General features: G+C 53.5%; 3 annotated features.

Moving 5' to 3' along the window:
* Positions 1 to 651: an enhancer, noted in NCBI's record as "H3K27ac-H3K4me1 hESC enhancer chr9:139061593-139062243 (GRCh37/hg19 assembly coordinates)". NCBI's record gives its function as "activates a minimal SCP1, AML or CMV promoter by ChIP-STARR-seq in naive H9 embryonic stem cells {active_cell/tissue: H9 hESC(naive)}" and the evidence as "EXISTENCE:reporter gene assay evidence [ECO:0000049][PMID:30033119]".
* Positions 652 to 1303: an enhancer, noted in NCBI's record as "H3K4me1 hESC enhancer chr9:139060941-139061592 (GRCh37/hg19 assembly coordinates)". NCBI's record gives its function as "activates a minimal SCP1, AML or CMV promoter by ChIP-STARR-seq in primed H9 embryonic stem cells {active_cell/tissue: H9 hESC(primed)}" and the evidence as "EXISTENCE:reporter gene assay evidence [ECO:0000049][PMID:30033119]".
* Positions 13385 to 13885: an enhancer, noted in NCBI's record as "H3K4me1 hESC enhancer chr9:139048359-139048859 (GRCh37/hg19 assembly coordinates)". NCBI's record gives its function as "activates a minimal SCP1, AML or CMV promoter by ChIP-STARR-seq in primed H9 embryonic stem cells {active_cell/tissue: H9 hESC(primed)}" and the evidence as "EXISTENCE:reporter gene assay evidence [ECO:0000049][PMID:30033119]".

Genomic DNA, 16042 nt, shown 5'->3' with positions numbered 1-16042 from the left:
GGGCCCAACCTGGGATTTTGCAAACAGGTTCACCAAATTGTCAATTAAGTGAAAATCAATCTCCAGCCATTCATCACAGGCTGCTGGGGCCGCGCACAGGCCGCCATCGATCGGGGCCCCTGGGGAGCGATTGAGGCCAAGTGCAGCCCACATCTGCTGCATCAGGGCAGACGCCACGATCCATCATCCCAAACAGCCGAGGCGCCCACCCGGGGGCCCGGGCTTGCCCAGGAGGGAGGGCGGGTGGAAGGGGCACAGCGCCCTTGGAACCTTTCAATGCTCTGGCCACAGTGCCGGATCCCTGAAAGCCCCTTCCCTCTCCATCAGGCCCCATGGCCCTGTCCTCCCCGTCTCACCCAGCCCTTCTCCCAGTGACAGGGGTGGGGGCACTCTGAGGTCTCTCTATGAAGGGCCATTGCTCTGACGCCGTGGCAGGGGCTGGGGGAAGCAAGGTGGAGGAATCTGGTCCTCTCCCCGTCCTCAGCCTCCCCTCTCTGTTTGACCTTTCGGGAGAGCCCCCTCTGCCTGGCTGTGCACACTGGGCACCCTGACCTCTCTTCTCTTTCACTATTGTTTGTCCCCTCCTCTCCCAACCTGGCACAAGGCTGTGAGCCTGCAAGGCACCTTAAATGCACTGGGCCGAGCTTCAGGGCCTCCCCCTCTGTGAGGTCAAAGTCCAGTGAGGCCCCATCTAGGGTGTCAGTGCCCAGACAGCAGGGCTGGGATGCTCCCCCGAGGACAGAGCACTCCTCCATAACTTCCGCAAGAGTCCCTGCACATGCGGGGAAAACGGCCCAGAAATGCCCAGATTTCCAGAATTTCTTTGCAGTGGAGCCTGCAGCTTGTCACTTTGATGCCCTCCTGCAGACAGCCCCCCAGGCCCCTCATGCAGGGGCTCCACCAGCTCAGACTTCTGGACCCTCCCCGCAGGCTTTCAGGGGCTGAACATAGGGCTGGGACGTGCCATCAGTCCCGTGTGGGCTGTAGCCCAGTAAGCTGATGGAGCCTCGGGGAGAAGGGCCCCTTCTGAGCACCAGGTCTAGGGCTGACTGGCCACCTGGGTGTCCTCGTTGGACAGAAGAGGACGTGGAGGGGAGAGCTTCCAGCCCCTCTTCCTGGGCTTCATTGAGGTGGAGACCAGCAAGGGCTGGTCACTGCCAGCGTCCCCTCCTCTCCTTGCCCCCTCCTTGGCCACAGGAGTCCAGCTGGACATGAGGGCTGTTCCACGAGAGCCAGAAAGCAGCAGGGTCACATGGGACAAGGGCCTTCAAAGTGTTGAGACCTGCCGACCTTCCAGTTGCACTTCTGGGGTCAATTCACGCCAGCCATCTGGCCTACGTGGCTCAGACACTGCAGAAGGAGGCAGAGAGGACAAGCTGCCCGACCCTCATGGTGCTAAGGCAATTGTCATCAGTCTGAGGGCGAGAAAAGCCTTTTGCGTGAAGGCATCCTGGGAGCATCATTCATTCATTCATCAAGAAATAGTTATTAAACCCTTAAGGGACTGTTGCTTCCAATCATGATGAAATAACAGGGGCTGCATTTGCTCTCGTGCTAAGATGTACAGAATACACGGTTTTCTGACACCGAAAGCCAGGCGGCATAGTACAGTGATCCCTGAGAGATGGGAAGCGAGGGAGGCAGCCCTACAGTGGCTCCAGCTCACTGCCAGGCCTCAAGGTAGGAAGGGGAAACCCAAAGAGAGTCCCCATTCCTGCAAGTTGACAAAACAAAGTTGAAAAGTTGGGGAGACCAGGACAAAGAGCCGGAGGGGAGAGAGCTGGGTGAAAGGAGAGAGTTGTACAGAGAGAGGGAGAGCTCCAGAGACCGGCAGGGGGGTCCCCTCCGCTCAGCAGCCGAGGACTGACCAGCCCATGCATGTGAGGACACCACCCGAGGCTGGGAAAGGACCACAGGGGAGTCGCAGAGGGAGCAGTCCTTGTAACTATATGGGGCTGAGAGTAGTTCATGCCGCCATCAGCCACAGTGAAAAGACCCCATAACACATGGGGTATCGGGTGGAGTACCCTGCAGGGTATTGTTTTAGGACAGGGGCAAAATTAGCCCTGAACAGAAGGTGCTCTAGTCTAACATGATAACAACACTCAAGGTCGAGCCTCCGAAGGATCAAACCCTTTCCAGTAATTTAACAATGGGTGAAACAAAGCTCAAGAATATTTACAGGAATACGGCCGGGCGCGGTGGCTCACGCCTGTAATCCCGGCACTTTGGGAGGCCGAGGCGGGTGGATCACGAGGTCAGGAGATCAAGACCATCCTGGCTAACACGGTGAAACCCCGTCTCTACTAAAAATACAAAAAAAATTAGCCAGGCGTGGTGGCGGGCACCTGTAGTCCCAGCTACTCAGGAGGCTGAGGCAGGAGAATGGCGTGAACCCGGGAGGTGGAGCTTGCAGTGAGCCGAGATCGCACCACTGCACTCCAGCCTGGGCGACAGAGTGAGACTCTATCTCAAAAAAAAAAAAAAATATTTATAGGAATACAAAAGTATCCAGCACACAACAAGATACAATTCACTGCCGGGCGCGGTGGCTCACATCTGTAATCCCAGCACTTTGGGAGGCCAAGGTGGGTGGATCACAAGGTCAGAAGATGGAGACCATCCTGGCTAACACGGTGAAACTCCGTCTCTACTAAAAATACAAAAAATTAGCTGGGCGTGGTGGTGGGCACCTGTAATCCCAGCTACTCAGGAGGCTGAGGCAGGAGAATGGCTCAAACCCGGGAGGCGGAGGTTGCAGTGAGCCGAAACTGTGCCACTGCACTCCAGCCTGGGCGACAGAGCGAGACTCAGTCTCAAAAAAAAAAAAAAAAAAAAAAGATACAATTCGCAATGTCTGGCATCCAAACAAAAATGATCAGGCCTGGAAAGCAGCAGGAGAAAAAGAACCCATCCTGAGATCAACCAATACAATTACTCAGAATGGCACAGATGAGCGGGTTCATCAGGGACATTAAGCTGTTCATATAGCCACGTTCCGTAGGTTCAAGAAGGCAGAGGGAAGATGGAGCATGTTAAAGACAGACATGGAAGACTTCAATCAAATTCTTTTTTTGTTTTTTTTTTGTTTGTTTGTTTTTTGAGACAGAGTCTTGCTCTGTCGCCCAGGCTGAAGTGCAGGGGTGCAATCTTGGCTCACTGCAACCTCTGCCTCCTGGGTTCAAGCGATTCTCCTGTCTCGGCCTCCCGAGTAGCTGGGACTACAGGCGCCCGCCACCACACCCAACTAATTTTTGTATTTTTGGTAGAGACAGGGTTTCACCATGTTGGCCAGGATGGTCTTGATCTCTTGACCTCGTGATCCGCCTGTCTCGGCCTCCCAAATGGCTGGGATTACAGGCGTGAGCCACCGTGCCCGGCCCTGACTTCAGTCAAATTCTTAAACATACACTGGGTACAATTAACAACAGAGTAGACATGAAGGAAGAAAAGGTGAGTGACTTTGAGGACATAGCAAGAGAGAAAAAGACCATAAAAATGCAGCACAGCCTCAAGTGGCCAAATAAACCTGTAGTTGGAGTCCTTGAAGGAGAGAAGAGAGAAGGAGGAGCCCAAAAATATGAAGAAATAGTGGCCAAAAACTTCTCCAATGTGGCCAGGTGCAGTGGCTTATGCCTGTAATTCCGGCACTTTGGGAGGCCTTGTCAGGAGGATCGCTGGGGCCAGGAGTTCAAGACCATCCTGGGCAAGACCCTGTCTCTACAAAAAAATGTTTAAAAAATTGGCCAGGCATGGTGGCACATGCCTATAGTCCTAGCTACTTGGAATGCTGAGGCAGGAGGATTGCTTGAACTCAGGAGTTTGAGGCTGCAGTAAGCTATGATTGCATCACTGCACTCCCATCTGGGTGACAGAGCAAGACCTTTTCTCTAAAAATAAACAAACAAACATTATATTTTTAAAAAACTAAATAAAGGGCCGGGTGCGACGGCTCAGGCTCAGTGCTGTAATCCCAGCACTTTGGGAGATTGAGGTGGGCAGATCACGAGGTCAAGAGATCAAGACCATCCTGGTCAACATGGTGAAACCCCATCTCTATTAAAAATACAAAAATTAGCTGGGCCTGGTGGTGCATGCCTGTAGTCCCAGCTACTCGGGAGGCTGAGGCAGGAGAATCACTTGAACCCAGGAGACAGAGGTTGCAGTGAGCCAAGATAGTGCCACTGCACTCCAGCCTGGTGACAGAGTGAGACTCCATCTCAAAACAAACAAACAAACAAACAACTAAATAAAGGCAGCCAGAAGAAAAAGACTCATTATCCACAGAGAAACAAAGGACAGCTGACTTCATGTCAAAAACAATGCAAGCTCAGTGATGGTTGGGCAACATCTTTCAAGCACTGAAAAAAAATAACCGTCAACACAGAATTCTACAACAGGCAAAATATCTTCCAGGTCTTGTTCAGGTATTTTTGTTTTGTTTTGTCAGACAGAGTCTCACTCGCTTCCCATCTCTCAGGGATCACTGTGCTGTGCCACCTGTCTTCCATTGTCAGACAGAGTCTCACTCTGTCACCCAGGCTGGAGTGCAGTGGCGTAATCTCTGCCCACTGCAACCTCCACCTCCCAGGTTCAAACGATTCTCGTGCCTCAGCCTCCTAAGTAGCTGGGATTACAGGCATGCGCCACCATGCCCGGCTAATTTTTGTAATTTTAGTAGAGCTGGGGTTTCACCATGTTGGCCAGGCTGGTCTTGAACTCCTGGCCTCAAGTGATCCACCCGCCTCAGCCTCCCAAAAGCAGTTCAGCCCTTTTTCTGTCTTCCGTGTCATATAGAATATGGTTGTAAGAACTACTGAATGTTCTTGACTATTAATTCTCTCATCAGTATTAATCTTGAGTCATCAAGGTGAAATAAAGACTTTTCAAACATATGTAACCTGAAAGAATTCATCACCAGCAATCCCAAACTGCAAAAAATGTTAAAAAAAAAAAAAAAAAATCTTGGCCGGGCACAGTGGCTCATGCCTATCATCTCAGCACTTCGGGAGGCCAAGGTATGAGGACTGCTTGAGCCCAGGAATTTGAGACTAGCCTGGGCAATATAGTGAAAACTTGTCTCACAAAATTTTTTAAAAAACTAGCCCGATGTGGTGCACACACCTGTGGTCCTAGCTACTCAGGAGGCTGAGGGCGGAGGATTGCTTGAGCCTAGGAGGTCAAGGCTGCAGTGATCCATGATCGCACCACTGTACTCCAGCTCGAGCATCAGAGCGAGACCCTGTCTTAAAAAGAAAAAGAGAGAGAGAGAGAGAGAATCCCTTCAGGAAAAAAGAAAAGTGTACCACATGGAAAGATGGATCTATGAAGCAACAAAGAATGCTGGAAATGGTAACTACCTGAGTAAATGTAAATAATTGTTACGGGGGGAGTAATGGTGATGTGCTGTGGGTTCATAACACATGTAGTATGACAATAGTAGCACAAAGACCAAGAAGGGAGGCACGGAAGCACTTCGAGGAGTTCCTTTTTTTTTTTTTTTTTTTTTTTTGAGATGGAGTCTTGCTCTGTCGCCCAGGCTGGAGTGCAGTGGCGTGATCTCAGCTCACTGCATCTCCACCTCCCAGGTTCACAGCATTCTCCCGCCTCAGCCTCCCGAGTAGCTGGGACTACAGGCACCCGCCACCAGGCCCGGCTAATTTTTTGTATTTTTAGTAGAGACGGGGTTTCACCGTGTTAGCCAGGATGGTCTCGATCTCCTGACCTGCTGATCCACCCACCTCAGCCTCCCAAAGTGCTGGGATTACAGGCCTGAGCCACCGTGCCCAGCCCATTTTTTTTTTTTTTTGACAGAGTCTCGCTCTGTCACCCAGGCTGGAGTGCAATGGCATCATCTCGGCTCACTGCAACCTCCGCCTCCCGGGTTCCAGTGATTCTCCCGCCTCAGCCTCCAGAGTAGCTGGAATTACAGGCACATGCCACTATGCCTGGCTAATTTTTGTATTTTTAGTAGAGACAGGGTTTCACCATGTTAGCCAGGCTGGTCTCAAACTCCTGACCTCAGATGATCCACCCGCCTCGGCCTCCCAAAGTGCTGGGATTACAGGCACGAGCCACTGCACCTGGCTGGAGTTTCTTATACTGTATGTGAAGTGCTACAATATCACTTGAAGATAGATTGTGATAAATTTAAGATGTGTAAACCCGAAAGCACCCACTAAAAACACACAACAAAGGGTTATAACTAAAGCCAAGGAACAAGATAAAATGAGGCTGGGTATGGTGGCTTATGCCTGTAATCCCAGTACTTTGGGAGGCTGAGGCAGGTGGATCTCCTGAGGACAGGAGTTCAAGACCAGCCTGGCCAACATGGTGAAACCCTGTCTCTACTAAAAATACAAAAATTAGCTGGTCATGGTGGTGGGCACCTGTAATCTCAGCTACTCTGGAGGCTGAGGCCAGAGAATCGCTTGAACCTGGGAGGTGGAGGTTGCAGTGAGCCAAGATTGCACCATTGCACTCCAGCCTGGGGACAGAGCAAGACTCCATCTCAAACAAACAAACAAAAAAACAAACAAAAAAATGAAAAAAAAGACACAAGATAAAATGAAATCATAAAAATAATGAAGCCAGGGCAACAAGATGAAACCCTGTCTCTACAAAAAAAATAAAGATCAGCTGGGTGTGATGGTGTACACCTGTAGCCCTACCTGCTTGGCTGGGCTGAGGTGGGAGGATCACTTGAGCTCAGGAAGTTGAGGCTGTAGTGAATGATGATTGTGTCCCTGCACTCCAGCCTGGGCAACAGAGCAAGACCCTGTCTCAAAAAGAAAATCAAAAAATAAAAAATAAAATAAAATAAAACCACTTGACTAATTCAAAGGAAGCCAGAAAAAAAGAGGGAAAAGGGAACAGAGAACAAATGGGAGGAATCAAAACAAATAGCAGGTGACATCAACAATCACATTAAGTGTAAATGATCTAAACACCCAATTAAAAGGCAGTGATTGCTATTCAGTCATAAAAAAAATGGAATTTTGACACATACTACAACATGAATAAACCTTGAGGACATTTGTTGAGTGAAATAAACCTGTCACAAAAAGACAAATACTGTGTGATTCCACGTACATGAGGTATCTAGAGGAATCAAAATCATAGAGACAGAAAGCAGAACAGTGGTTATTAGGAACTGGGAAAGGAGAGAATGGGGCTTTCGTGTGATGATCACAGGGTTTAGTTTGGGGGATAAAAAGTGTTGAAAATAGTGGTAGTAGTTGCACAAAAATGTGAAGGTATTAAATGCCACTGAATTACACACTTAAAAAGGTTAAAATGGCAAATGTTATGTTATATATGTTTTGCCTCAATTTTTAAAAATTAATGTAATATATCAAAACCCACTGAATTACACAATTTAAATGGGTGAATTATACGGTATGAGAATTATAACTCAATCAAGCTGTTTTTTAAAGTCAATGATTGTTAGAATCTTTTTTTTTTTTTTGAGATGGAGGCTCACTCTGTCACCCAGGCCGGAGTGCAGTGGTGTGATCTTGGCTCACTGCAACTTCTGTCTCCCAGGTTCAAGTGATTCTCCTGCCTCAGCCTCCTGAGTAGCTGGGACTACAGGTGCGAGCCACCACACCCGGCTAATTTTTTTTTTTTTTGAGACAGAGTCTCACTCTGTCGCCCAGGCTGGAATGCAGTGGCCTGATCTCGGCTCACTGCAAGCTCCACCTCCCGGGTTCACGCCATTCTCCTGCCTCAGCCTCCCGAGTAGCTGGGACTACAGGCACCCACCACCACGCCCGGCTAATTTTTTGTATTTTTAGCAGAGACAGGGTTTCACCATGTTAGCCAGGATGGTCTCAATCTCCTGACCTCGTGATACGCCCATCTCGGCCTCCCAAAGTGCTGGGATTACAGGCGGTGAGCCACCGCGCCCAGCCAATTTTTGTTTTTTTAGTAGAGATGGGGTTTCACCATATTGGCCAGGCTGTTCTCAAACTCCTGACCTCAGCCTCCCAAAATGCTGGGATTACAGGCATGAGCCACTGGACCTGGCCAGAATCTATTTTAAAAATCATCCAGTAGGCACTGTGTACCAGGCACTGTTCTAGACACTGAAGATTGAGCAGGGAACAAAAGCCAGCTTGGCCCTTCTAGAGCCCACCTGCTGGAGGTGGGATGGGCAATAAGCAGGGAATGGAAGGGAGGGAGGGAGGGGGCTCCCTGGAGGGCTGGGTGGGCCTCGCTAAATGGGACCCTATGACTAGGAGGGACCCCATGGGCACCAGGGAGAGACAGGGCAGCCAAGGGGGCCTCCAGGCAGAGGCTGCTGGGCTGGCACCTGCATGGACATGTCATTTATAAAGAAATAGCATCCCAGACTGGCATGGTGGCTCACGCTGGTAATCCTGGCACTTTGAGAGGCCGAGGTGGGTCAGTCGCTTGAGCCCAGGATTTCAGGACCAGCCTGGACCACATGGCAATACCTCAAGTCTATGAAAAATACAGAAATAGCCGGTGTGGTGGCTCCTGCCTGTAGTCCCAGCTAATCAGGAGGCTGAGGTGGGAGGATCGCTTGAGCCCAGGAGGTGGAGGTTGCAGTGAGCCGTGATCACACCTCTGCACTCTAGCCTGAGCGACAGAGCCAGACCCTGTTTCCAAAGAAAGGGAAGGGAAAGGGAGGGAAGGGGCAAGGAGGGGAGGGAAGGGACAGCATCCCCAAAAGGTCTGGAGAAAAGCGAAACCACTCAGGGTTTTATGCTACAGCCCATCCCCTGAGTTTCTGTAGCTGTGACAAATATATTTTTGAAAAAGAGAAGGAGTATTGAATAACTTGGGAAAATGTCTGTTGCATTTGGGTAAAAAAACGGGAGTTTTTTTACACTGCCAGTGTCAATGTGTGCCAAAGCACAGCAAGCGCGCACACACCACATATGCACACATGCCATGTACACACACACAGGTGCACATAACATCACATACACTCATGTACAGACACACATACCACGCACACCACACACATATGCACACACCCACACACATATGCACACACACATGCACACACACATATGCACACACACACATACATCTGTCATCTCCCCTGCAGATGAGGGGTTGAGGCCCGGGCAATGTGACGACCACTTGCCCAGGACTGGTAGAACTCTGTGGTGCCCTCTGGGGCAGTCCCCTCCCACCAGGCTGCCTCCTGATGGTTTCTCCCATGGTTGACTCGGCCCCAGAGGTCTGGTGACATCTCCCTCTCACCATGCTGAGTTCCTCGGATGACTGCAGCTGTGGCTGAGCAGTGAGGCCCCTGCCCAGGACCCTGGCCTGGCCCAGACTGTGTCCCCATGTCAGGGCATGTAAACAGCAAGGGCTTGGCCCGTGCCCTCAATGCTCTGAGCCCGCTGTCTCAGGAACAAATTAGAATCTCACTCGAATCCTCATAAATCTTCCATTCCTGACAAATCCAAAGGAAGATGGGGGAGAGGGGCAGGGGGGAGGGGAAGGAGCCAGGGTCCCTCGCTAATTTCTCCAAACTGCTGTTTATTGAAATGAGACACCAGGGATAAGCAAGAGCTGGATCAATAAAGGCCTGTCTAATACAATCAGCCGGGGCCGCCAGCTTCCCGCCCCTCCTTCCAGGGAACACCAGAGGCGAGGGGCCTGAGGAGCGCAGCCCAGGCCTCCCCGCTCCTGGGAACCTCCCCTCCCACACTGCCCTGTAGAAGCCGTTCACCTGCAGACACAGCCCACATCATGTTCCTGCAGCTGCTTCTCCAAGGCTGCCCCTCAGCTGGCCCGGCCTTCCCTGCAGGTGTCTGCTCCCTAGGGAGAGCCATAGGGGCCGGCTCATGGAGAGCAGGGCCCCACCCAGGCCCTCCCACTCCTGCAGTCTCCAAGCCTCACCCCTGCAGTGACCAGGCAGCCCCAGTGCAGCCACCACGCCACCCTCCCAACATGCCCCACACACTCCAGCTTCCTGGGCCCGGCCTCCTCGGACCAAGGCCTGGCACCTTGCTGTGCTGGGGTCCCTCAAGCAGTGGCTTTTCCTGAGTCATTCCGCCCACCTGCCTCCAGTCCGGTCCCGGGAATAACTGGCCACTCCTCTTTCTGGGTAACTGTGAGTCCTAGACTGGGGCCTGGGCTCTGAGTGGCCCCCTCCCCGACACATGAGCTCTTGGGGGCAGGACGGCCAACTCGGTGCTGAGTTCTTGGAAGGGGTTTTCATTTTAATTAGGTAACCAGAGGCTGATGGGGTCTTCCAGGGCTGGGATCTCCATCGGCTGCCTGCGGTGGAATCACCGACACAGGCTTCACGCAGCCCAGGCCTCGTGCACATTCTGACCCCGCTGTTTCCAGGCCGTGGTCCCACACTGGCGAAGACCCTGGGGCAGCCAGTTCAGGCTCCTGTTTTGCGGAGAGGGGCAGCAGGAATGGGGCAAATAGCACCCCCGGCAGGTGCTCACGTCTCTGTGAAGTGGATTTGACATTCTCGGGTGCACCAGGCCCTGACCGCCTGGTCATATCCAGGCCTCTGACACCTGCAGCAGGTTCCGCTGAGGGACCCTGGCAACCCTGAACCCGTCTCTGCGGATCTGGAGAGCCAACAGCAAGCTTTCAGGGTTCAGTCGCCCCTCAGACCAGGTTCGAAGACTTGAGGTCACCTAGGCTCCAGCTTCCTAGGGTGACAGACCCCCGCTGCCCCAGCCTGCCCCCCACTTTCCCAATGAGGGTCCTGTTTTCTGAGCATCCCCCTTTCGCCTTCAAAGTTGACATTTGAAAATAGCTGATTGATGACCTCAGTAAGCCCCGAATGAGTGTTTTCGAGAAAGCTTTCCCCATTTCCAGCCATCAGCTGTGGAATATTACAGGTGGGAGGAGAACCGGAAAGCCCCACAGTGCGGCCATAGGTGATGTACGGCAGCAAACATCGCTGCGGAATTAATCAATTGTTTGAAAAATAGGCCTGCGTGTGCGTGTGGCCAGCTCCACCACGGCTCTACAGACGGGCCCGGTCCATCGTCTGCAAGGCAAGGGAAATAGATCTCCTCACGGTGGCCATGTCCCTGCCAGCCCAGGTGTGCAAATGTCCCTGAAATACACCAAGGGAGGTACATTTCATTACAGAGCTGATCGGCCTTGAATCACAGAGCCCTTGGCCATTGATGGTCTTCTGGGAGAGGCCAGTGGGTAAATGGTAGGGAAGCCATTCCATACCTTCTCTCATGCACACGTTTTGGTGATGGCTGGATTAGGACCGGCTGCTGCGGTGCATGGGGTGAGGGTGGGGGATCACCGGTGCTATGTAACAGGCAGCTTTGGGAAAGGGATCAGGAAGTTTCATGTCAATCAACCAATCAATCAATCAATTAACAAATGCATTGCCAAGCTTGACTGGAGCTTAAGGTTCAGGACATCACTTGTGCTGACCTTGATGGGTGAACTTTGGGAGGTTTATCATCTCTTTCCAGAAGGCTCCAAGACAAATGTATGCATTCAGCTTTGTCAGGGTACTTGGTTAGGGAGTGAATGCACAAACGCCCAAGGAGGCCAGTGTTCAACGGCCTCACAGGTAAGGGACGGGACAGCCCTACTTCCCGGCTGCACAAGCAGAAAGAAATGGGTTGAGTCCCTGGCTGTGCTTCTCCCACAGGGCTGCATGCACCTGCTCTGACAGATGGAGGCTTTTCCTGGAGTTATCTGGCCCAGAGCAAGGTGTGCCTGTGTCACCCTGCAGGGACACAGCAGCAGAGCAGCCAGCAGTGAGGCATGAGGCCTGGCCCTCACCCATCACAGGGTGGCCACCCAGCATCTCTGGCCCTTTCTTCCTCCAGGAAACGCCTTCCCCATGGCAGGTCACCCATGCTTTCCTCCCTGGGGCCACAGGACAATGCTGCTGGAGACACGCAGTGACCCTCAAGAAACAGACCCTGGAGGGAAAGGTCCCTGGGCCATGAGGAGATGCTGAGCAGCCACCTCCAGGCCTCTCTTCCTGGAAGCCTGGGCCCAGCACCCCTCACTTGGGGCTCCTGCTACAGGAGCCACATCCCTGGAAAACCTGGCAGCTGCCACAGGAACAAAGCAACCTCAGGGGACAGCACTCTGTACCCTTGCTCCCAAGGTCTTTTGTCCACGAGTGGCCCTGTGGCCCTGCCAGTGTCCCCGGGGCTGCCACAGGGCCCTGAAGGCTGCAGCCCACAGGGGAACTGCAGAGACTCCCGGCAGGTGGGACCCCGTGGAGCCACCTGGAGCCGCTGGGGACGTTGCTCCCAGGGAGACCTTTGGTGGCTCACGGGTTGAAGGGGCAGCATTGTACCTGCAGAAAGCTCCAGGCACTGGGAGGCACGACCTCTCCCACGTGGGACGGCTGCCTCCTGCCCTTGCCCTGGAAACCCCAACTTAGTAGGCCTGGGGAGGAGCAGAGTGTCTGGGTGTCGTGAAAGCCCCCGGCAGGGCTGGCCTCAGAGGAAGGAGCTCTGACCTGGCCTCGGCCCTCGGAGCTCATAGCTCTGTCCCCACCCTCTCCACAGTGGCTGGAGTCCTGGGCTTGTGTCCACACCTTCCACCAAAGCCAAGCCCACCCTGGGTTCAGCTCCACTTCTGACTGGAGAGACCCTCCCCTCTGGCCCCAGCTCCCCCCTCTGTAGGGTGAGGGGTTGGGATGCCCCTCTCTGGTTCTGTTGTACTGACATGAATCTCTGATTGAAACATTGCTCGGCATATCTGGTGGGGAGGAAATGATACGGTTTCCTGCAAGCCCAGCTGAGAGATGATGCGATGTTTTTCTTGGATGCTTGGTTTTTAAAAAGTCCCTGATAAGGGACAAGCTAATTGGGAATTCTTGAAGAGAGGAGGGCTGGGGGCATGGGAGGCGGCCACGCTGGGAGCCGACCCCCGTCAGCCATCAGTTGAGAAAAGACTCTCTCTAAGTAGACCAGCCAATACCAAGTGGGGGAGCCCCCAGCAGGTGCCCTGACAAAGAGGGGGCCCCCACCACGAGCAGGCCCAGGGCTCCTAAATGGGGACGGGTTGGGGGGAGAACAGGGGCTAAAAGGAAATCAAAAGCAAATTATTTTCGGGATTATAGCTCTTGAGCCCCAGCGAGATATTACCCATTTTTCATAGCAGACAAAACCATTTTCCAAGGGATCAATTTTGCCTGCGGAAGTCGCCTTCCTCCAGCCCATAATCCATCATATTTCCCCATTTGCAATTTCTTGGTGTCTGAGTGTTTTAAGTTTCCTATGAATTATTTTATAAAGCTTTCTTTCTTCCTGCTGAAATGAGGTGTTCCGGCCCTGCTGGGAGGGCCCAACAACATTGAATGGGGGACTAAGGGGCCAGCAGTGTCCCGGCAGGGACGTGGCTGGACAGCTCGGGGTGGACTTGGTCAGAGCCAGCCCTGGTGGCCCCCAGACCACCCCCAGCTCAGAGTCGGCCTCCTGGGACACAGGGAGGCGTCCAGTGGGGACGGCGGCAGAGGGTCCCAGCCCCGCCAGCCGGAAGGGACGCAGGTGGGCTTGGCCCTGGTGAGTTCGGGGGAGGCCACCAGCCACTCGGGGCCCCGGGGGGAGGTGGGCTCAGGGGAAAGTTTTTGAGGAGATTTATTCTGATGCTCTGCTGAGGGGGACTCATCCTTCAAGAGGCAGCGTGTGTAAAAATTCCCCGGCCTGTTGATTGGTCTGTCACGGTGATTTGTGGCTCTTCCCCCGAGGTAATGGGAGCCACTGGGCTGGTGAAAGGCAGCCGGACAGATTGCTGAACAGAGCGGGCGGGAGGCCGCACAGCCGGCGAGATTTATTGACCTCAACCCACGGAGGCCCCTCCAAGGCTTTCAATCCCGCCTTTCAGCCGTCACCCCGGCGATGGCCGCCCGGCGGGCTCCTGGAGCCCCACAGCACAGGGCACCAGACAAGGGTGCCGAACCCCGGGGGGCCGCGCCATCTGTCCCCCCAGGAGGAGGAGAGGGCTCCATCCTCTGCTGCCCCGATTCACTGTTTGCTGGGGCTGCTGCTTTTTCGAACAATAGCTTTATTGAGATGTAATTCACATATTGTACAAGTCACTCACCTGCAGTGTACCGTTCAGAATATGCGAGAACAGTGGGGTGTTTTGTGTATTCGCAGAGCTGTGCAGCCGTCAGCACAGTCCATCTTAGAACATTTTCATCACCTCAAAAAGAAAGGCTGCCAGGTGTGGCGGCTCACACCTGTAATCCCAGCAGTGTGGGAGGCCGAGGTGGGCGGATCACCTGAGGTCGGGAGTTCGAGACCAGCCTGACCAACATGGAGAAACCCCATCTCTACTAAAAATACAAAATTAGTCAGGTGTGGTGGCAGGTGCCTGTAATCCCGGCTACTCAGGAGGCTGAGGCAGGAGAATCGCTTGAACATGGGAAGCAGAGGTTGCAATGAGCCCAGATTACACCACTGCACTCCAGCCTGGGTGACAGAGCAAGACTCCATCTCAAAAAAAAAGAAAGCCTATGTCCTCAGTCACCTCCCCAGCCCCCCACGCCAGCCCTGGCAACCTTGAATCTACTATCCGTCCCTACAGGTGTCTCTGTTCTAGGCTCTGCCTGTGAATGGAATCCCATAACGTGGTCTTTGTGCCTGGCTTCTTGCCCTCGGCCTGACGCTCCCAGGCTCGCCGTGTTTTCCCGTGTGTCAGCGCTGCGTCCTTTTTAAGCCTAAATTATACCCCATGGCGCAGTTAGACCGCTTGTTAATCCACCCGTCTGCCGGAGGACACCTGGGCTGTTTCCACCTTTTGGCTGCTGTAAATGATGCTGCTGTGACCGTGAGCTGGGCGTGTCTCTGTGGGGCCTGCCTTCATTCTCTCGGGGCTGTGTGGTCACCCCGTGTTTAACGGAGCAGTTTGAGGAGCAGGAGCTGGGCGCGTCTCTGTGGGGCCTGCCTTCAATCTCTCGGGTAGTCCCTGGAAGGGAGTTTCTGGGCTGTGTGGTCACCCGTGTTTAAAAGAGCAGTTGAGGAAACTGATGGATTGTTGACTGCTGGCCACTTCCATTTCATTTTCCACTTTTCCCTGGTTATCAGAGTCAGACGCGCTCATCATCCCAAATCTGCAAAATATAGAAAAGTTGAAGAAACACAGCGACCCCTTCCCCGTCCATCCATGGATCCTGGCAGCTGCTCTCCCACATTTTCTGCCACACTCGTTCTTTGCACACCAAGGACATCCTATAGATTCTGTTTTTGAACCAGCCTTTTCTCACCACGGGATCTCCCTGCGTTACTGGAAACTCTTCCTACACGTCGTTTTTGACAGCTGCGTAATATTCCGTGCCGTGGAAGCCCCACCACTTGCTTAACGGATCTTCCCAGGAGCTCCAGGGGGCAGAGAATGATACCAGTGCCGGGGGTTGAACAGCCCTCCCTGGAGGCTGTCGTCCACGTACATGTCCAGCCATCAGTTTCACCCCTCCTAGGAGCCAGGGCCTGGCCATGGCCTTGGCCAGCTTGAGGTCCCAGTGGCGGAGACTAGGGCCAACCCACAGGGCCCACAATGCATCTGGACTCTCTCCATGGGCAGGCAACCTCTTCCACAGAGTCCTGTCTTCCCTCTGGGCCCTTCTGACCCTGGGGGGATTTTCCACAAGGGTCCAAAGGACACCACTGGCCTCCGGACCCCCTCACGGACGGCTGCCAATATGTCGGGGGAGGGGCAGGACAGGAGAGAGGGGAGGGGAGAGACTGGGGGATGGGAGAGACTGGGAGACCGGAGAGACTGGAGGGACAGGAGAGACTGGGGGATGGGAGAGACTGGGAGACCGGAGAGACTGGAGGGACAGGAGAGACTGGGGGATGGGTGAGACTGGGAGACCGGAGAGTCTGGAGGGACAGGAGAGACTGGGGGATGGGAGAGACTGGGAGAGCGGAGAGACTGGAGGGACAGGAGAGACTGGGGGATGGGAGAGACTGGGGGGATGGGAGAGACTGGGGGACGGAAGAGACTGGGGGGATGGGAGAGACTGGGGGACGGAAGAGACTGGGGGGATGGAAGAGACTGGGGGGATGGGAGAGCCTGGAAGGACAGGAGAGACTGG

Source organism: Homo sapiens, chromosome 9, assembly GCF_000001405.40.
Source record: "Homo sapiens chromosome 9, GRCh38.p14 Primary Assembly".
Taxonomy (NCBI): domain Eukaryota; kingdom Metazoa; phylum Chordata; class Mammalia; order Primates; family Hominidae; genus Homo; species Homo sapiens.
The sequence above is the reverse complement of the archived record's forward strand: the minus strand, read 5'-3'. Positions and strand labels throughout refer to the sequence as shown.